The sequence below is a fragment of the Homo sapiens genome, chromosome 4 (genome assembly GCF_000001405.40).
Source record: "Homo sapiens chromosome 4, GRCh38.p14 Primary Assembly".
NCBI lineage: Eukaryota > Metazoa > Chordata > Mammalia > Primates > Hominidae > Homo > Homo sapiens.
In genome coordinates, this window is record NC_000004.12 from 112,085,390 (window position 1) to 112,108,383 (window position 22,994).

At 39.4% G+C, this 22,994-nt stretch overlaps 1 long non-coding RNA gene across 2 annotated transcripts in view, besides 1 other annotated feature; it reads right to left on the reverse strand.

Annotated features, from left to right (window-relative positions):
- LINC02945 (long intergenic non-protein coding RNA 2945) overlaps window positions 1–22,994 on the reverse strand; it is a 308,805-nt gene that overhangs the window by 281,924 nt on the left and 3,887 nt on the right. The window lies entirely within an intron of this gene.
- Window positions 1,378–1,946: an enhancer, noted in NCBI's record as "NANOG-H3K27ac-H3K4me1 hESC enhancer chr4:113007923-113008491 (GRCh37/hg19 assembly coordinates)". NCBI's record gives its function as "activates a minimal SCP1, AML or CMV promoter by ChIP-STARR-seq in naive H9 embryonic stem cells {active_cell/tissue: H9 hESC(naive)}" and the evidence as "EXISTENCE:reporter gene assay evidence [ECO:0000049][PMID:30033119]".

The following is a 22,994-nucleotide window of genomic DNA, read 5'->3' on the forward strand; positions in this document are numbered from 1 at the left end:
AAAAATCGCTCAAATAAGTAGAAAAGAGCTTAAGTTAAAAAGCGAAACTTAATATAAGGATCCAGGGTTATTGCACAAAACCCACAACCTTAGGTAATAGGCCTCATAAGGAACTGGAAACCCCGGATGTAAGATCACTAGAAATTGCCATCTCTGTCACTTCCCTCAGAAGACACCCATTTTCACTTTCTGCCTGTATCTGTGTGTTTGAGAGAGAGATGCAATTTATAATTCATATTTATATTAAATAAATGATAACAGATACACAGTAGGTTCTGATAGCAATCTCCAAATCCTTCTAACTAACAAAACTACTAAATGTCACACAACTAACACAACTAGGCTTTTTTTCTTATGTGTTCTGTGTCTTGTGCTTATACCTCCTTTTCTTACTCACAATCTTATTCTAGGCATTAGTCTGTGATGAGGGGAACTACTTCTCACTTCAAAAATGCACTCAGTCATTCCCTACTTATCAACACCAGAAATGATACTCACTTCTTCCACCCCATCTTTCTCACCTGAGTGCTTTGTCCATGTGAGATGATCTTTACATTTCACAAAAGAGCTTTCTTCAGTATCGGGGGTGGGGCAGCGGCAGAGGTCTGCATCTTCTCCAAAATCCTATTTGCCTTTGATGCCCACATTGGGATCTGGAGTCTGGCAGGCTCTTGATTTCATCTCTGTTCCCTACTATAATTTTTCAAGTCTTATTTGTGGTCTATGGAAATGTTTGCCTTGTTTTGAGTTGGCCAGGTACTTCCACATATCTTCTTATAAAACTTGTCTAGCATTGCTGTTTGTTTGAAGCAGACAGGATGTGTCATAGCCTGAATTCATTGTGCTGTCCACTGATAACTCTTCCCTTCCTTGTACCTAGTGGCTTTCTCTCCTCCTCAAGCTCACTGACATGAGAGTCTTTCCCTTGAGTCCAAAGAAAGGAGGCATAGGCTGGGTAGATACCACAAAAAAAGTCTCTATGCAGCCTTAAGATAAATCCCTGGAGGTGGAATTTCTGTCTCAAGGATATGAACATTTTAAAGTTTTTGGTATATATTATAAAATTGCCCTCTTGGAGGAGGAGCCAAGATGGCCGAATAGGAACAGCTCCCGTCTACAGCTCCCAGCGTGAGCGACTCAGAAGACGGGTGATTTCTGCATTTCCATCTGAGGTACCGGGTTCATCTCACTAGGGAGTGCCAGACAGTGGGCGCAGGTCAGTGGGTGTGCGCACCGTGCGTGAGCCGAAGCAGGGCGAGGCATTGCCTCACTTGGGAAGTGCAATGGATCAGGGAGTTCCCTTTCCGAGTCAAAGAAAGGGGTGACGGACGCACCTGGAAAATCGGGTCACTCCCACCCGAATATTGCGCTTTTCGGACTGGCATAAAAAACGGCGCACCACGAGATTATATCCCGCACCTCGCTCGGAGGGTCCTACGCCCACGGAGTCCTCTCACTGATTGCTAGCACAGCAGTCTGAGATCAAACTGCAAGGCAGCAGCAAGGCTGGGGGGAGGGGTGCCCGCCATTGCCCAGGCTTCCTTAGGTAAACAAAGCAGCCTGGAAGCTCGAACTGGGTGGAGCCCACCACAGCTCAAGGAGGCCTGCCTGCCTCTGTAGGCTCCACCTCTGGGGGCAGGGCACAGACAAACAAAAAGACAGCAGTAACCTCTGCAGACTTAAATGTCCCTGTCTGACAGCTTTGAAGAGAGCAGTGGATCTCTCAGCATGCAGCTGGAGATCTGAGAATGGGGAGATTGCCTCCTCAAGTGGGTCCCTGACCCCTGACCCCCGAGCAGCCTAACTGGGAGGCACCCCTCAGCAGGGGCACACTGACACCTCACACGGCAGGGTATTCCGACAGACCTGCAGCTGAGGGTCCTGTCTGTTAGAAGGAAAACTAACAAACAGAAAGGACATCCACACCAAAAACCCATCTGTACATCACCATCATCAAAGACCAAAAGTAGATAAAACCACAAAGATGGGGAAAAAACAGAACAGAAAAACGGGAAACCCTAAAACGCATAGCGCTTCTCCTCCTCCAAAGGAATGCAGTTCCTCACCAGCAACAGAACAAAGCTGGATGGAGAATGACTTTGACGAGGTGAGAGAAGAAGGCTTCAGACGATCAAATTACTCTGAGCTACGGGAGGACATTCAAACCAAAGGCAAAAAAGTTGAAAACTTTGAAAAAAATTTAGAAGAATGTATAACTAGAATAACCAATACAGAGAAGTGCTTAAAGGAGCTGATGGAGCTGAAAACCAAGGCTCGAGAACTACGTGAAGAATGCAGAAGCCTCAGGAGCCGATGCGGTCAACTGGAAGAAAGGGTATCAGCAATGGAAGATGAAATGAATGAAATGAAGCGAGAAGGGAAGTTTAGAGAAAAAAGAATAAAAAGAAATGAGCAAAGCCTCCAAGAAATATGGGACTATGTGAAAAGACCAAATCTACGTCTGATTGGTGTACCTGAAAGTGATGGGGAGAATGGAACCAAGCTGGAAAACACTCTGCAGGATATTATCCAGGAGAACTTCCCCAATCTAGCAAGGCAGGCCAACGTTCAGATTCAGGAAATATGGAGAACGCCACAAAGATACTCCTTGAGAAGAGCAATTCCAAGACACATAATTGTCAGATTCACCAAAGTTGAAATGAAGGAAAAAGTGTTAAGGGCGGCCAGAGAGAAAGGTGAGTTACCCTCAAAGGGAAGCCCATCAGACTAACAGCAGATCTCTCAGCAGAAACCCTACAAGCCAGAAGAGAGTGGGGGCCAATATTCAACATTCTTAAAGAAAAGAATTTTCAACCCAGAATTTCATATCCAGTCAAACTAAGATTCATAAGTGAAGGAGAAATAAAATACTTTACAGACAAGCAAATGCTGAGAGATTTTGTCACCACCAGGCCTGCCCTAAAAGAGCTCCTGAAGGAAGCGCTAAACATGGAAAGGAACAACCGGTACCAGCCACTGCAAAATCATGCCAAAATGTAAAGACCATCCAGACTAGGAAGAAACTGCATCAACTAACGAGCAAAATCACCAGCTAACATCATCATGACAGGATCAAATTCACACATAACAATATTAACTTTAAATGTAAATGGACTAAATGCTCCAATTAAAAGACACAGACTGGCAAATTGGATAAAGAGTCAAGACCCATCAGTGTGCTGTATTCAGGAAACCCATCTCACGTGTAGAGACACATATAGGCTCAAAATAAAAGGATGGAGGAAGATCTACCAAGCAAATGGAGAACAAAAAAAGGCAGGGGTTGCAGTCCTAGTCTCTGATAAAACAGACTTTAAACCAACAAAGATCAAAAGAGACAAAGAAGGCCATTACATAATTGTAAGGGGATCAATTCAACAAGAAGAGTTAACTATCCTAAATATATATGCACCCAATACAGGAGCACCCAGATTCATAAAGCAAGTCCTGAGTGACCTACAAAGAGACTTAGACTCCCACACATTAATAATGGGAGACTTTAACACCCCACTGTCAACATTAGACAGATCAATGAGACAGAAAGTCAACAAGGATACCCAGGAATTGAACTCAGCTCTGCACCAAGCAGACCTAATAGACATCTACAGAACTCTCCACCCCAAATCAACAGAATATACATTTTTTTCAGCACCACACCACACCTATTCCAAAATTGACCACATACTTGGAAGTAAAGCTCTCCTCAGCAAATGTAAAAGAACAGAAATTACAACAAACTATCTCTCAGACCACAGTGCAATCAAACTAGAACTCAGGATTAAGAATCTCACTCAAAACCGCTCAACTACATGGAAACTGAACAACCTGCTCCTGAATGACTACTGGATACCTAACGAAATGAAGGCAGAAATAAAGATGTTCTTTGAAACCAATGAGAACAAAGACACAACATACCAGAATCTCTGGGACACATTCAAAGCAGTGTGTAGAGGGAAATTTATAGCACTAAATGCCCACAAGAGAAAGCAGGAAAGATCCAAAATTGACACCCTAACATCACAATTAAAAGAACTAGAAAAGCAAGAGCAAACACATTCAAAAGCTAGCAGAAGGCAAGAAATAACTAAAATCAGAGCAGAACTGAAGGAAATAGAGACACAACAAACCCTTCAAAAAATTAATGAATCCAGGAGCTGGTTTTTTGAAAGGATCAACAAAATTGATAGACTGCTAGCAAGACTAATAAAGAAAAAAAGAAGAGAAGAATCAAATAGACACAATAAAAAATGATAAAGGGGATATCACCACCGATCCCACAGAAATACAAACTACCATCAGAGAATACTACAAACACCTCTATGCAAATAAACTAGAAAATCTAGAAGAAATGGATAAATTCCTCGACACATACACTCTCCCAATACTAAACCAGGAAGAAGTTGAATCTCTGAATAGACCAATAACAGGATCTGAAATTGTGGCAATAATCAATAGTTTACCAACCAAAAAGAGTCCAGGACCAGATGGATTCACAGCCGAATTCTACCAGAGGTACAAGGAGGAACTGGTACCACTCCTTCTGAAACTATTCCAATCAATAGAAAAAGAGGGAATCCTCCCTAACTCATTTTATGAGGCCAGCATCATTCTGATACCAAAGCCTGGCAGAGACACAACCAAAAAAGAGAATTTTAGACCAATATCCTTGATGAACATTGATGCAAAAATCCTCAATAAAATACTAGCAAAACGAATCCAGCAGCACATCAAAAAGCTTATCCACCACGTTCAAGTGGGCTTCATCCCCTGGGATGCAAGGCTGGTTCAATATATGCAAATCAATAAATGTAATCCAGCATATAAACAGAACCAAAGACAAAAACCACATGATTATCTCAATAGATGCAGAAAAAGCCTTTGACAAAATTCAACAACGCTTCATGCTAAAAACTCTCAATAAATCAGGTATTGATGGGACGTATCTCAAAATAATAAGAGCTATCTATGACAAACCCACAGCCAATATCATACTGAATGGGCAAAAACTGGAAGCATTCCCTTTGAAAACTGGCACAAGACAGGGATGCCCTCTCTCACCACTCCTATTCAACATAGTGTTGGAAGTTCTGGCCAGGGCAATTAGGCAGGAGAAGGAAATAAAGGGTATTCAATTAGGAAAAGAGGAAGTCAAATTGTCCCTGTTTGCAGAAGACATGATTGTATATCTAGAAAACCCCATTGTCTCAGCCCAAAATCTCCTTAAGCTGATAAGCAACTTCAGCAAAGTCTCAGGATACAAAATCAATGCACAAAAATCACAAGCATTCTTATACACCAATAACAGACAAACAGAGAGCCAAATCATGAGTGAAATCCCATTCACAATTGCTTCAAAGAGAATAAAATACCTAGGAATCCAACTTACAAGGGATGTGAAGGACCTCTTCAAGGAGAACTACAAACCACTGCTCAAGGAAATAAAAGAGGATACAAACAAATGGAAGAACATTCCATGCTCATGGGTAGGAAGAATCAATATCGTGAAAATGGCCATACTGTCCAAGGTAATTTACAGATTCAATGCCATCCCCATAAAGCTACCAACGACTTTCTTCACAGAATTGGAAAAAACTACTTTAAAGTTCATATGGAACCAAAAAAGAGCCCGCATCACCAAGGCAATCCTAAGCCAAAAGAACAAAGCTGGAGGCATCACACTACCTGACTTCAAACTATACTACAAGGCTACAGTAACCAAAACAGCATGGTACTGGTACCAAAACAGAGATATAGATCAATGGAACAGAACAGAGCCCTCAGAAATAACGCCGCATATCTACAACTATCTGATCTTTGACAAACCTGAGAAAAACAAGCAATGGGGAAAGGATTCCCTATTGAATAAATGGTGCTGGGAAAACTGGCTAGCCTTATGGAGAAAGCTGAAACTGGATCCCTTCCTTACACCTTATACAAAAATCAATTCAAGATGGATTAAAGACTTAAACGTTAGACCTAAAACCATAAAAACCCTAGAAGAAAACCTAGGCATTACCATTCAGGACATAGGCATGGGCAAGGACTTCACGTCCAAAACACCAAAAGCAATGGCAACAAAAGCCAAAATTGACAAATGGGATCTAATTAAACTAAAGAGCTTCTGCACAGCAAAAGAAACTACCATCAGAGTGAACAGGCAACCTACAAAATGGGAGAAAATTTTCGCAACCTACTCATCTGACAAAGGGCTAATATCCAGAATCTACAATGAACACAAACAAATTTACAAGAAAAAAACAAACAACCCCATCAAAAAGTGGGCGAAGGACATGAGCAGACACTTCTCAAAAGAAGACATTTATGCAGCCAAAAAAACACATGAAAAAATGCTCATCATCACTGGCCATCAGAGAAATGCAAATCAAAACCACAATGAGATACCATCTCACACCAGTTACAATGGCGATGATTTAAAAGTCAGGAAACAACAGGTGCTGGAGAGGATGTGGAGAAATAGGAACACTTTTACACTGTTGGTGGGACTGTAAACTAGTTCAACCATTGTGGAAGTCAGTGTGGCGATTCCTCAGGGATCTAGAACTAGAAATACCATTTGACCCAGCCATCCCATTACTGGGTATATACCCAAAGGACTATAAATCATGCTGCTATAAAGACACATGCACACGTATGTTTATTGCGGCATTATTCACAATAGCAAAGACTTGGAACCAACCCAAATGTCCAACAATGATAGACTGGATTAAGAAAATGTGGCACATATACACCATGGAATACTATGCAGCCATAAAAAATGATGAGTTCATGTCCTTTGTAGGGACATGGATGAAATTGGAAATCATCATTCTCAGTAAACTATCTCAAGAACAAAAAACCAAACACAGCATATTCTCACTCATAGGTGGGAATTGAACAATGAGATCACATGGACACAGGAAGGGGAATATCACACTCTGGGGACTGTGGTGGGGTGGGGGGAGGGGGGAGGGATAGCATTAGGAGATATACCTAATGCTAGATGACGAGTTAGTGGGTGCAGCACACCAGCATGGCACATGTATACATATGTAACTAACCTGCACAATATGCACATGTACCCTAAAACTTAAAGTATATTAAAAAAATAAAAAAATTAAAATAAAAATAAAAAAATAAAAAAATAAAATAAAATAAAATTGCCCTTTTAAATCGTTAAATCAAGTTATGCTTCTACTGGTATGAGATAGTAGCCAACACTAGGTCCTCTTAGGAGCTGTGAGTAGTAATTGGCATTTATTCAACATTACCTCTGATGAGGTAGACTCCTGCATTACCTTCCTCTTTCATTATGGTCATCCTTCAGGGAAAGCAGTGCTGAGATAATAGCTTGTCCCTTCCTGAATGTTGATCCCAGAGCTCTCTTCCTGATACTCTGCATCTTTGGACTGCCTTCATGTTCTTGCATAAATGCATGTGGGCATATAGGATACCAAGTCATTGCTATCTAGAACCTGTGGTCTAAGTAGTAGTAGTTTAGTACAAATTTTACCAGAAAATCTGATGCTAGTTCCAGGTTGCACAGCTTTCTAAAAGCATATAGGCATGTGTGTTAGTCCATTTTCTATTGCTATAAAATAATACCTCAGACTGGGTAATTTATAAGGAAAAAAGGTTTATTTTGGCTCAGGGTTCTGCAGGCTGTACAAGAAACATGGTGCCAGCACCTGCTTTTGGTGAGGCCTCAGGAAGCTTCCAGTCATGGCAGAAGGCAAATGGGGAGCCAGCATATTATATAGAAAGAGAGAAAGCAAGAGTGGAGGGAGGTGTCATACTTTTTAAACAACCAGATCTCATGTGAACTAACAGAGTGAGAACTCACTCATTACCTTGAGGGCAGCATCAAGTCATTCATGAGGGATCTGCTCCCATAACCCAAACACCTCCCACTAGGCCCACCGTCAACATTTGAAGGTCACATTTCAACACGAGATTTGGAAGGGATAAAACATCCAAACCATATCAGCACGTGTTTATAAATTTTTATTATTTATAATGTCTGGAATAAGCATTAGGGCCTTAAAAGGAATGTTGTGAGAATACCCAATGTCAAATTCAGGTGATGTAGCTTTCTAAAGGCAATATTTATAACCACTCAAAGCAATTATGCTGGAATTTTAGAGGATTTTGTTTGGGATACAAGAGACCTGGCCAGCTCCCACTGACATGTCCCCTAACCTGGCTAAACCTTGTCCTGGACAGGCAGAGCCAACAATCCACATCTTTACGTATAAGAAATTAGGAAGCAATATCCATTTAGTATACCCAGCTTGATATCTCCTGGTTTTGTATACAAAGAATGCATCGTGAGAATGTATTCTTTGCACTGTTCTCAACAAATAGTTGTATATGAATTGGTGTCAAATGGCCCACTTCCGCCAAGCTTTTATGGGACTACTATTCGCACACATTGTCCCATCAAATCCTCATAACACCTGAGCAAATATTTTTGTTCTTCCCATTTCACAAATGAGAAAACTGAGGGTACTGACCTGACAAATAACCAGTGTAAATTGTACAGTGGAAGTTTGTGGCTTCTGCCTGTAGGCTCAATTTTCCCCTGCTCATGGTATTTGCATGTGGATTTTGTTTAAAAGCAAGTTCATCTTGTCAGTCAGAATGCAGGTGGTGTGAACTCCACATTACCTTTGGGGATGTCCATGTAACTCAGAGCAGACCAACCCATCTTCTGATCACAGATAATGGTTCAGGGAAGGGCTATATTAGAAGGGAATAACTCTTTCCTTAAGCTTGATGTTTCCCTTACATTTTAAAGACATGTAAACATTGTAATCACTCCTCTTTTCTCACTCAGCCCAAGAGGAGGTATACAGAGGTATCTAGTTCTTACAGTAGGGAAAAAAATACTGGGCATATTCCTATGCCCAGCATTAGAAAATACATATGCAACTCCATGTATTTTCTCAAGAGCTAGGTCTGTGGGAACACAGAGTTCTGCTCTGCTTGGCCAGGGGCAGGCTAAGTAAGCCCTTAGTGGGGAAGGAAAGGCTGCAGGAAAGACGGGAGCCAGTCTAACACTGTCATGACTGGTGGCTAATCTACAACATTCTCAGGTTATTATTAAACTCACTTAAACTCTAAGATTATCCTCTACATTCTCTTTCACCAGCAACAAGGTTGATGTTTTATATCTCTGCCTTATTGAGCCAGACAAGTACATGGCCCAATCAGAGCTGATTCTCAAGTGTTTGCAGGGGGAATAGGGCAGAGGGGAGGAAGGCATGTGCTTTCCACTGGACTTGAGTGGGAAAGGCTGGAGCCTGCACATTTAGGGGCTGCCAGAGGAAGGCAGGGCCAAGTCAAAGAGAAGAGCCAGGTCCTGCTGACATTGGATGAGTTCCTGAAACCAGTTGTTCCTGAAGACAACTCTATAATTTAGACTTCCAAATTGATTATCCAATAAATTCTATTTTTTGCTTAAGCTGGTTTGAGTTGGATTTTCGGCCACTTCCAATAAAAAGAGTTAATACACAGAAATTATCAAAAGGATGTTAAGTAAAAAGGCATAAGGTTGATGTTACTGGAGCTTGGCGAAGGAAGTTCAGGCTTGGGATGAACTTCATGGAGAAGCTCTTACTTTGGATCAGTTAAAGACACAATCATTTGAGAATTTGTATAATGAGTACAATGTACATTATTCCAGTGGTAGACTAAAAGCTGAGACTTTACCACTATGCAATATATCCATGTAACAAAATTGCACTGGTACCCCTTATATTTATACAAATAAAAATTTTTAAAAAGACACACTCATTGATTACCGTTGTATACTAAGATATCAAAATGAATAAAATAAAGTCTCTGTTTGCAAGTTATTTCCTGTTATTTAGTAGCGGAGGATGAACCCGTGAAAGATAGTTTCCATGCTAGGTGGTAGGTTCAGCAGCACAGTGTTATGAGGGCACACAGTAAGAGCACATTGCCCATGCATAGATGCTGGAGGAAGGATTTGTCAGAAGATGACACCTGAACTGCTTAATGAAAGGTGAATAGGAGTTAGCTGTGAGGAGATGGCAGGATAGGGCTTTCCAGACAAAAGGAAATTAAGCTGCTCAGGCAGAGGAGTATAAAATAGTATGATGTTGGGAGACAGAATGGTACTGACTTTGGATTGTTGGGCCTTGAAGGATGAGGAGGAAGCTGTGAGCATATGGTCATGTATCTAGAGCATCTGATTCACACAAGGGAGGAGCTGGAAACACACCAGAAAAGTACAATGTCATGAGACTTTAGAGAACCCTAAATGCCAAGATAGGCAATAAAATTTGACCTTATAATAATTGATAAGGTAAAACTGAAGCAGTGCTTTCAGCAGAGAATTCTATGATAAAAACAAAGTTTTAGAAAAAGTAATCTGGCAATAGTTTAGAGTGTGAATTGGATGATAAAATGCCAGCTAGAAGACTAGTCCAACTGAGAGGTAATGAGTACCACTGTGAGGAAGCGAGGGCCTGACCTGATGTAGCTGAAATGAAATGAGGATGGATAAAAGAAGGAAAGTTAACTATCAGTATTTACTCCAATTTTATAATGTTTGGCTTAAAAGTAGGCATCATGAAAAAAATTTTCTCCTCTGTTTGTATGGTGGCTTATATATAAATATGTTTTTCTCTATAGAGTTCATAAATTCCTCTAGAGCAGGGACCGTGCTGGTTCTTTGTGTTTCTCTTGGTGCACAGTAGGTATTTAATCTATATTAGAGACTTTAATTGAATTCTCAAATCGGTTTTTGCTAGTTTTATTCTTTTTTATCTTCTTCAAATATATGTCTATGTTTAATTGACAAAGTTATATTGTTTGCATTGTTATAAGAGTCAATTTAAAAATGAGTTCAATATACCACTGATCCAGGAAAGAGACTACACAGTGATTATATTATTGTTTACCAAAGAACTATAAGAATATGTATAATCCCATTTATCTGTTTGAGTCTCCCAAGGTGAAAAATGATAATATTATTTTGAAAAACACCTGGATGCTGGGATAACTGGATAGCCATATGCAGAACAATGAAACTGTATACCTTTCATCATATATGAAAATTAACTGAAAATGGATTAAAGATTTAAATGTAAGACCTCAAACTGTAAGAATCCTAGAAGGAAACCTAGCAAACACTATTCTGGACATTGGCATTGGGAAAGAATTTTTGGCTAAGTCCTCAAAAGCAATTGTGACAAAAACAAAAATTGGCAAGTGGAGCCTAATTAAACTAAAGAGCTTCTGCACAGCATACATAAATAAATAAAATTAAATTAAACCTATCAACAGAGTAAACAGACAACCTACAGAATGGGACAAAATATTCACAAACTATGCATCTGACAAAGGTCTAGTATCCAGAATCTGTAAGGATCTTAAACAATTCAACAAGCAAAAAACAAACAATCCTATTAAAAAGTGGACAAACGACATGCACAGATACTTCTCAACAGAAGACATACAAGCTGCCAACAAACATATGAGAAAATGCTCAACATCACTGATCATCAGAGAAATGCAAATCAAAACCATAACAAGATATACCATCTCACACCACTCAAAATGCTATTATTAAAAAGTCAAAAAAACAGCAGATACTAGTGAGGCTGTGGAGTAAAGGGAATGGTTATTCACTGTTGGAAGGAATGTAAATTAGTTTAGCCACTGTGGAAAGCAGTTTAAAGATTTTTCAAAGAACTAAGAGTTGAACAACCATTCAACCCAGAAATCCCATTACTAGGTATATGCCCCAAAGAAAATAAATCATTCTACCAAAAAGACACTATGCACCCATATGTCATTGCAGCACTATTCACAATAGCAAAGACATAAAATCAAACAAGATGTCCATCAGCAGTTGATTAGATTAGGAAAATGTGGTACATATACACCATGGAATGCTATGCAGCCATAACAAGAATGAAATCATGTCCTTTGCAGCAATATGGATGCAGATGGAGGCCATTATCCTAAGCAAATTAATGCAGGAACAGAAACCAAATACTGCATGTTCTAACTTACAAGTGGGAGCTGAACACTGGGTACTCATGGACATAAAGATGGGAACAATAGGCATTGGGGACTACTAGAGGTGGGGAGGAAGGGAGGGAGGCAAGGGTTGAAAAATAAACTATTGGGTACTATGCTCACTTCTTCAGTGACAAATTCAATCATATCCCAAACCTTAGCATCACACAATATGACCATGTAACAAATTTGCACATATACCCTCTTTATCTAAAATAAAAGTTGAAATTATTTTTTTAAAAAACCTGGAGATTCCAGGTTAAAAAGACTGAGGAGCAATTAGATATGGGTCCTAATCTCAATAAGTGCATAAGAGGGAAATGAAGATGACAATATAACAATATAGATCATCCTCTTAAATTTAGGATTATAATAAATTCTAAGGCCAGGGAATGTTAAGGTTTTAGGAGAAGAACCATGGTTTAACACATAAATAAGATGCTGCTCTCAAGTATATTTTCTTTTACCTAGCATTGTTTTTAATTGGGAGGCCTGTTTAAAAGGAAAACCAATGGTTTAAAAACAAACAAAAGAAAAGTAAGCAGTGGTACCGCTAACGCTAACTTCAACACCAATAACTGAAGCCAACCCCTTGGCCTTGCTGCTGATAAAGATGTGAGTGCTCTGAGCTCCTGACATATGTCCTGTTGATTAATGCAGTTCATGGAAGAATTGTCACTTCAGCTGATGTCCTGAATTTCTACAGCTGATAGAACCATGGTTCTCAAATTTTAATGAGCAGAAGACTTACCTGCACTAATTTTACCAATTGCAGACTTCATCCCCAGAGAGTCTAATTCAATAGATCTGCAGTGAAAATCTTTCACTGATCACACACCCTAGATGATTGTGAAGCAGGAGATCCATAGACCATGTTTTAATGATCACTTACTCTCTAGGTTTTTTAGGACATAAACACCTGGATTCAGAGTGTGAATCTGACTCTGTGATGTGAGCTCCAATTGAGGTATAGTGGCACAGCTAAAAGAAAGATTAATTTTGCTTAATGAAAAGGGAGGCAAAAGAAGAATACAAGGAATCCCTAAAGAGAAGATGATATTTGACCTGTGATTTAAAAGATAAGAAGAAGGCCGGGCATGATGGCTCATGCCTATAATCCTAGCACTTTGGGAGGCCAAAGTGGGCAGATCACCTGAGGTCAGGAGTTCAAGACCAGTCTGGCCAACATGGTGAAACCCTGTTTCTACCAAAAATACAAAATTAGCCAGGCATGGTGGCGGGCGCCTGTAGTGCCAGCTACTCGGGAGGCTGAGGCACGAGAATTGCTTGAACCTGGGAGGCAGAAGTTGCAGTGAGCCGAGATCACAATGCCACACTCCAGCCTGGGTGACAAGAGCGAAACTCTATCTCAAAAAATTAAAATTAAAATTAAAAAAAAAAGATGAGAGGAAATTTTCCAACTAGGAAGGAGCAAAAAGAGAAAGAACAAGGAATAAGGAAAATGCCTACAGAAGAATGGCAGATCAGATGGCAAAATATGAAACCACAGCGATAGACTTGGGCCAGTTTACGCAGAGCTTTGTGTTCTGTGACACATAATTTATCTTGTGGCTGTTGGTTCCCAAATGAAACAGCTGTACCAGAAATCTTCTGAGGCATTTATTAAAATTCCCAGGGTCTCCAGTAGAGCTACTGAATCAAATCCCTTGAGGAGAGATCTGAGTATCTGGAGTTTTAAGAAGGGTTCCCAGCACTCTGATAAGCAGCCAGTATAACTACTGGTAGACCAAGGGCTAGTCTGAGCCCTCATCTAAGGGCTCTAAGCATCTAAGTGCTTCAGAGAATGCAGCATCCGAGAGTTGCTGTCAGGAATGATCCAGCAAGGGGAGGAAATCATAGTTGAGAGGTTCCATAGCCAGAAATAGGTCAGCGCCAGAAAATTTCCATAGAGAAAGGCATAGATGACAAAGATGTGAGTTAAGTGAGTGAGCTGGACTACAAAAGCAGAAGGTATGGACACAGAAGGCAGTTTCTGGAAATAAAGGCAAAGTACAACAGAGAGTTGTCCTATGTGAGATGAGACAAAGATGGACTTCTGATGTGTATGAGGTGCTGCCAGAGATGGCTTAACAGCAGCCATCCTTAATCCAGCTGATGCCTTTCAGCTGGAGTTGAAAAGGTATCCAGTTCAGTTAGCAGTTGAAAAGACAAAGCTAGGAAAACATCAGGAAAAAATATCAGAGTTGGAGTTTGAACATTATGGTTCAATAGAAACTACAGAAGTAGATGGCATTGCTGGAGAGGTAAAAACGGACTTTTAAGGGACAGAGTAGATTTTTTAAAAGGCATTGAATTGGCAAGAGGAGGAGGGAGTAATGTGAACTGTCTTTTGTAAATACATGGGATGTAGGATTGAACCGTTTCCATTATCTAAGCATGTAGAACCGTTCTTTAAACTACCAGTAGATGGTGCCATAGTTTTGGAAAATAATAAAGGTAAACAAAGCCAATAATGTTACATGTAAAAACCTTGTCTTATGTTAACTTAAAAAAAAATAGGATTTATAAATGTAGATTTAGAAAAGGAAAGACTTTGTTTCTTCTAAAGGCATTTAGAAAAATGCCTCCCGCAAGACCAGAGACAGGCACTTCACAGGAGGAGTGCTTGGAGTGGGAGCTTTATGCTGAACAGGTTGGCTAAACGTACATATTCAACAGGTATAGGAGGAGCTATGAATATTCATGAGGGTGGTCCTGACACATATTGGATGTTACATGCTTATTGAACAAACATGCATGTAACATGACCCATGTTTACTTTGGGGTGGAGACTTAACATTTAAATGTATTTACAATTAGGCCCTATAAATCAAAAGTTTCTTTCAGGGCAGGAAGGCATACAAGTGCACAATATCTGTAAACCGCCCAGAACCAGTCCATGGTCCATGATCTTCTGATCAGGAGAAAGTTATTGAAATCAGTCTCTTGTCCAATCAAAGCTATAGCTATGGCTGGTGGAACAGGGAGTGGGTGGAACAGGGAGTGGGGGTCAGAATCTGGTAGAGGTGCAAATTGTTTTAATATTGCTTATCTCGAAGCCAGTGCTTGTTTAGCTGACAGAGAAAAAGAAAAACCTAGTTTATTACTTAAGTGTAGGGGGTGCGTGAATTAATCCTTGCCTGGCATGGCCTTAGGTCCTGTTTGTATCATGGTGTAATATGGTATCTTACTGCCACGAAGAGTTTGTTCTGTCAGTCTTATGATCTCTATTTTAACATTAATGCTGATCAGTTGTTCTGTCTAAACCATAAAAGAGAAAGGGTTTAATGAGATGTGTCTGACCTCCCATTCCATCATGGCTGGGAACTCAGTTTTAAGGTTTTCCTGGAGTTCTCTTGGGCACAATGGGGGTTTGTTCAGTTGGTGGGGAAGGGGGGTAGGATTTTATTTTAAGTTTATATTAAAAATAAATAAATAAATAAAACTTATGATAAGGAATGACTAAAGCCAAATTAAGATAACATATCAATACCTGAAGGCTTATTTATTGTTCAAGACTCATATTCTCAGAACTTTATACTCCATTTTAGTTTTAATTTGTGACCAATAAATTGCATAATGTGGGGATGGTTCACATGATCATCAAAACCACAAACAACATAAAAACTTTGAAGAATATGGAATATGGCTGTCAGTTTTAAAATGTTCACTTGCTATAAAGAAGCTAGCCACTTTCATAGTGTTATGACTATCATGAGTTCCAAGCACTTTTGCCTTCAGAGCCCCTTCCTTCATTGAAAAGAATACACATACACACACACATGCACACACACAATTATATTTTGTGACTGCTTTGGTATACACCCCAGGCTGGATTAATTATTAAATATTATCATTATATCTTTCCTTCTGAATTAGAAATAAAATTCATATATTTTTGTGGGCCCCTAAAAATATTGTGAGCACTATACACTTTGTACAGTAATTAAGTCCATACAATGGATGTCTAGCTACCATAAAAATGAAACTTAAATAGAAAATTAAATAGAAAGTAAAAATAAATAGAAAGTAAAACTAGAGGGAGACAATGACTTTGAGGGCAAGTTGTCCATGGCAAAATTGAAATTCTTTGGAAGTTTTATGTGCTATCTTAAAATCATATCCAAATATTACAAAAGATGTATTTTAAATTGCTTATCAGGGAAAAAGAAGAAAAACAAAATTTCTTACCTGATTCATTGGTTAATGGATAAGGTAATATTGCAGAGTTGCCTTGTCCCTGAAAATTATTACCCAAAACTTACTGCTGAAAGCAGCAGAATTAAGTATGTCATGAGATATTGATCAAGTACAGTTCCAACAGGAAGAAGAACCGATTTATGGAAAAGAATATTTTTATTTTGAGAGTTCTAAGATTCTTTTTTGTAAAGAGGGGAAGGATGGAAGCAGAAGAGAGCTGCTATTATTTTTCTTAGTTTCTAATTTGGAAAAAGGAAGTGTATGACTGCAACATTTGAGAGTCTAAAATTTTAAGAAAGGGCCTACATAGTACAATAATAGCAATTTTAAATATAATCCAAAATCAAGAGTCAGAGAATTGGAGAGTAGGAGGGGCTGGTAATAGGGATTCCTGGAGAAGCAAAGAGAGAAATTCTAGGGCATTCTGAGAGATATAAAGTGAGATGAAGCAGCTTTGGGTGTCTGCAGGCCAGGAATCATGGTCAAGGATCAAAACTCAGGAATAGGGGCCACCCTCCTACTGGGTGATGACTTTGAACACCATCCTTGCTGTGGAAATTGTTTAAATTTAACCTATATCCTGTGATTTTTGCTCAACTTCAAGTATTGACGGAGAATGTTTTAGCTTTTAATTTGTCCTTAATCTTTTACATATTAAAATAGTACTTCATCTAAAGCTTTATGTTGTCAAACAAAAGAGTTCTTTATTCAAATTGTAATGGCAAAATTTGCCTTTTTAAAAACTCTGATTTTCTTTCAATGTTCATACTTTATAAAGATAAGGTGGGGGGATGTTCATTTACCTAGTTGATTTACACCATAATGTCTATTTTTGCCAAAGAGTTTGTTTCCCCTCTTTACCCCATGAGAGATGGAGAAGGAGTCGGGTAGGTTGGGGATAGGATGTTCAATGAGCACTTTGCACAGGGAAGACAAGCAATATAGAATTTTTATGGACCTCCAAACAATCCTGACCTTTGGCAGTTCCACTCTGACATGAATAAGTGTAAGGCAAGTCATATAGCATTTAACATTTGCCTTCCATTCTATCTATCAAGTTTGCACTACATCCACCATGAAGAGTGAATTCCCTGATGGGCAGCCATTAAGAGAGGCAGTAGAGAGTTTAGAATCAAATTGCCTGGGTTCAGATCTGGTCACTGCTACTTAATGGCTATATAATCTTAGGCAAGTGAGTTAGCTTCTCTAAGCCTCAGTGTCATTATCCATAAAATGGAGATAATGACAACATCTACATTATAAATAATAATGAGGATTAAATGAGATAATCCATAAATAAGCTCATAGCACTTGGCACAGAATAAAAGTTCTAAATTAGGTATTGGCCGTATTATTTGCTATTCCAAGAAACAGCACTCAGAACACGTCTGTTAAGGATGGCTGAGGCTCTGTGTGTCACTCAGAAAAGAGCTGGGGGCAGAGGAGCAACCCCAAGGCCTCTGCCAAAAGCAACTTGAAAGTTAAACTCGTGTTTTTGTCCAATGGCATTGAACAAGAAATAAAAGGTCAACCGCCATTTCCTCTGGAATCTGGCTTGTGATGTGACATCCGGGAATTGGCCCAATTCGTGGGTAGAGACAAACAAATCTTCCTCCCTACAAGCTTACATACCTACCTTTATTCTAACCTTCATCTCTACATAATCCCCATTCCTCAAAAGTTTATAAAATAATTGCCTTGTGCAAATTAGCATTGTTCAAGTGCAATCCTAAATAACACTGACGCATATTTCTATTTCTGCTATTGGTTTTTGTGACAATGATAAAGACATGCTATTTCCTGAAACAATAAGTGACCCTTTGATTTTAAAATTTGGCCTTTTTTTTTTTCCTTTTACAGACCACTTCTTATTTCATAGTGCATTACTATATTATTATTTACAAAACATTCTTTTGTAAATAATACAAAATTATTCTGGAGTGCAGCAGCGCGATCTCGGCTCACTGCAAGCTCCGCCTCCCGGGTTCATGCCATTCTCCTGCCTCAGCCTCCCAAGTAGCTGGGACTACAGGCGCCCGCCACCACGCTCGGCTAATTTTTTTTTTTTTTTTTTTTTTTGGTATTTTTAGTAGAGACAGGGTTTCACGTGTGAGCCAGGATGGTGTCGATCTCCTGACCTCATGATCCGCCCGCCTCGGCCTCCGAAAGTGCTGGGATTACAGGTGTGAGCCACCGTGCCCGGCCTACAAAACATTCTTAATCAATATTTGTTTGATTCAAAATCCTGTGAAGAATAAATTTAAGGCTCCCATAATTTCAGTCCTACATGTATTCCACTGTACATAATTTGTTTCAAACAAAATGGAAAAATCCCCATCCCCACAAGCTCGTCACTCTTTCTAAGTGAGAATGGGTCATTTCTTCTGTATCCTTAAACAGTTCAGAGACGAAAAATCAAGGAGCATAGGAAATGAAGCCTGTCGCACAATTAGGATCCAGTTCATACTCACTGGGACTACTTGGAGAATTTTCTGAAATCCCTTGTCTCAAGCTTCACTTCTATCCCTTCATTTCTGCTGCACACCACCTAAATTGAAGTTGCCTAGATATTCATTCTGTAAATTATTCATTCTCTCTCTCTCTCAGTATGAGTAGCCTGGCAATGCCAGACAAAAAGAAAAAAAAAGTCTTCAGAAATACTATGAATGTTTTAGTACAACCAAGCAAGCACTTTGATTTATTCATTGATTCAAAAAAGATTAATTAAGTAACCTCTATCTTTCAGGCATTGTGCTAGATATTGCTTATATAGTGATTAATAGGACAGAAGTAGTCCTACTCTTGTGAGGCTTACCACTTAGTGAAAGAATAAGACATGAGAAAAACAAACACACACACACACACATATATAATTACAGATTGCAGTGATAAAAAAAGAAAAGAGGGACATCTATGATTATAACAAGGAAGCACCCAATTCATGCTGTGGGATCAGAGACAACTTCTCTAAAATAGGATATGCAATTTAAGGCCTAAGGGATGTACAGGAGTTAGCTAGGTGAAGATTTGGGGGAAGTTATTCTAAGCAGAACATATGCAGTGTTCCTAGAACAACAAAGAGCTTGGCGCATTAAGAAATTGAGAAAGTCCAATGTGGTGGAGCTTAGTGAGCAGTGGGGGGAAGATCATCTAAGATGGACTCAGCATCATATAACTTCTCTGGAGTTTTGTTAAAAATCCAGAATGTCTAACTCAAAAAAGCATTTTGCAATATATTATAATTTACAATGGAAATTTGAATTTCAAGTTCCAAGCAAAATTATACAAATAAGCATCTTCTTGGCATCAACCTGGCATCTTCCACAGTCTCCCACATACCACTCCCCTACACCCTGTCCCTGCTAAATAATGGGTACGTCTTTTAATGAAATTTTTCAAGTGGTCTAAACTTGGTAGAATGCTAACATGAAACCATTTTTTTCTCCTTTTAACCATGCTCTATACAATCTCTCTTTCCTATTTTTTAATATCCTGAGCAGATTGCATAGGCAGGGGGTTACTTTCAGTTATTAATTTCTAGCCTAGTCTAATCAAATTTTTAAAACTTCAATCTTGATCCAATTTTATGTTGTTTTTTTTTTTCCTCCAAGCACCAACCAAATTTGGCTTCAGTGATTTGGGAGAAAGGCAAAATTTGCTCATTCACTCCTCCTCGCCTGGGTTTCTTTATTCTTCAGTGTATTGGTGAGAGAGAGATGGGGCCCAAGTTCTCTAGTTTGACATAACAGACTCTTCACAGTCTAGCCCTTGCCAAGCAGAATTCGAGTATCATGGAGAAGCAGAGCATGTTTTCCCCAGTCAGGCCTAAGCTGGAACACAAGAGAAGCCTAAATTAGATAAGAATCCTAAATTATGATATTATCCTTGATTGGGATTTTTATTGGCTAAAACAAGGCCTCCTTGTGATTGAAGGAATCAGAATGCTATTACACCTGCCAAATATTTCATCCAGGAAAGGAAGAGTCAATCCAAAAGCAGGTTTAAAAGGAAAGAATAGAAAATAATTCTCTCACTACACAGTCCAGCTTGTTTGATAAAATTGCTGCACAAGTTATAATGTGTTTTGAAGCAGATATAAAAAAAGAGCTATAAAGTCAACAGAGAGCTGAAATTACATAGAAAGTGAAAGCCATCTGTTGACTATATCAAGTCTAGTTAAAATCCCTAGTCTGCTCAGGGCTTGTATGAAATAAATAAATTAGGTAGTACAATTATCTGGACAAGTCATGAGACCCTCCCCCAACAAAAAAATGTGTTACACTTATTCCTCTTTATTTTATACTTTTCTGTTAAAAACTTAACAGTTATAATTTTTTTTTACTTTTTGCTTTTGTAATTTCTAAAAGCCTCAGCAGATCCTGGAGAGTATGAGATTAACTTTAAAAGCAAAAGTTATTCTATGTTATGGAAAGACACACATGACCAGTATATGAAGTGGTCGTGTCCAGTAAGCCTGACTAAGCTCTACAAGCCTTATTTTTTCTATGTACTGTCTGTTTTCTATTGCTCCCCAAAAGCAAGACAAGCAAACTTGTCTATCTTTTAGAAGGTCCTTTACAATACATTTTATAATTTAAATCTCCTTCATTTTTAGAAAAAAAATATGTACATATTTTTTTTTGAGATAGTGTCTCACTCTGTCACCCAGGCTAGAGTGCAGTAGTGTAATCACGGGTCACTGTAGCCTCAACTTCCCAGGTTCAAATGATCCTCCTACCTCAGACTCCCAAGTAGCTGGGACCACAGGCATGCACCACCACACCTGGCTGGTTTTTTTGTTTTTCCTTTATGTTTTTGTAAAGACAGGGTCTTGCTATGTTGCCCAGGCTTGTCTTGAACTCCTTGGCTCAAGTGATCCTCTCACCTCGGCCTGCCAAGTCCTGGGATTACAGGTGTGAACTACTGCAGCCAACCTAAATCCCCTCTAAAGAGATATATGTTCTTTTTTTCATGGTCAGAAATTCTCTTATCAAGAGAGATATAAGACCTATATCCCCTCCTCAAAATCTGGGTGGGTTTGTGACTCACCTTTAACCAACAGAAAGCAGCACAAGTGGCATTTCATGACTTCCCAGTATAGGTCAGAAAAGACAATGCAGCTTCCGTTTTATATATTGAGATACTCACTTTTGGAGCCCTGGCTCCCCTGAGGTTGCCATACTTTGAGGAAGCCCAGGTGACAATAAGAGGCCATTTGTAAGTATTTCAACTGACACTTCTACTAATGTCCTAGCTGACAAATAACATTAACCACCACATAAGTGAGTGAAGATACCTCCAGATGATTCCAGCACCCAGCCCCTGAGTCATCCCCAGGCCTCATATCTCCTCAGCTGAGACCCCAGACTATGAGCAGAGATGAGCCAGTTGAACTAGGCCTTGTCCAAATTCCTGATCCACAGAATCCATGGGCACAATAAAATATTTATTATAAGCTGCTAATTCTAAGACAATAGAAATTTTGCAAAATATTGACTGGCCTGGCTAATTTCTAGAATTCATAAGCTCTACCAGTCTCTTTATCCAACAGGTCAAATATTCCCATATATATCTATTATGGATTGAATTGTGTGCCTCCCCAAATTCATATAAAGTCCTAACCCCCAATACTTCAAAATGTGACCTTATTTGGTGATAAGGTCTTTTTTTTTTTTTTCCCCGAGATGGAATTTCACTGTCGTTGCCTAGGCTGGAGTGCAATGGTGCTATCTCGGCTCACTGCAACCTCCACCCCCCAGGTTCAAGCGATTCTCCTGACTCAGCCTCCCAAGTAGCTGGGCTTATAGGCATGCACCACCACCACACCTGGCTTATTTTTTATTTTTAGTACAGACGGGGTTTCACTATGTTGATAAGGCTGGTCTCGAACTCCTGACCTCAGCTGATCCACCTACCTTGGCCTCCCAAAGTGCTGGGATTACAGATGTGACCCACCATGCCCAGCCTTGGAGATAAAGTCTTTACAGAGGTAATAAGTCAAAATGAGTTCATTAGGGTGGTCCATAATCCAATATAACTGGTATCCTTATAAAAGGGAGAAATTTGCAAACAGAAAGCCATTGACCATCAAGATAGCCATCTACAAGCCAAGAAAAGTCCTAGACAGTTCCTTCACTGACAGCCCTCAGAAGGAACCAACCCTGCCAACACCTTAACTTTGGACTTATTGCCTTCAGAACCCTGATGCAATAAATTTACATATTTAAGCAACCACTTTGTGGTACTTTGTTTCAGCATCCCAAGAAAACTAATTTAGCATCCAAGCTAGGGCCAGCAGGCAGGGAGGAGTCTCAGGGGCCAGAAACAGATGGAAGTTAGAAGGAAGCAAATATTATAGAGTCTCATTATCTATTGTTGGAACTAGACCAATGTGTGAGTATCATCTACAGTACAGTTGCACCAAGTGGTCTGCTAACTGCTTATTCCTGCTATAGTCAGGATCTTACTAAAGCAGCCATTCTATCCTTAACCAGTTCTGTTAGCAACTCAATTAGTAAGTCAAAATCATGTGTGGGATCAAACACACTGGGCTTAATCTACTTCACATAGGATGGTCACTTATATATTCTCAAATAGCTGTCTGCCTCTCCTGAGTATTTAGCAAAAGAAACATGCTCAGGCTCTTGCAAACATTCCTTAAATTATGTTATCCTATGTCCTTTGAGCACCATGCTTATTCTTTTCTGAATTTGAGTCCATTTATGCCAAAACAAGAAATAAATTTC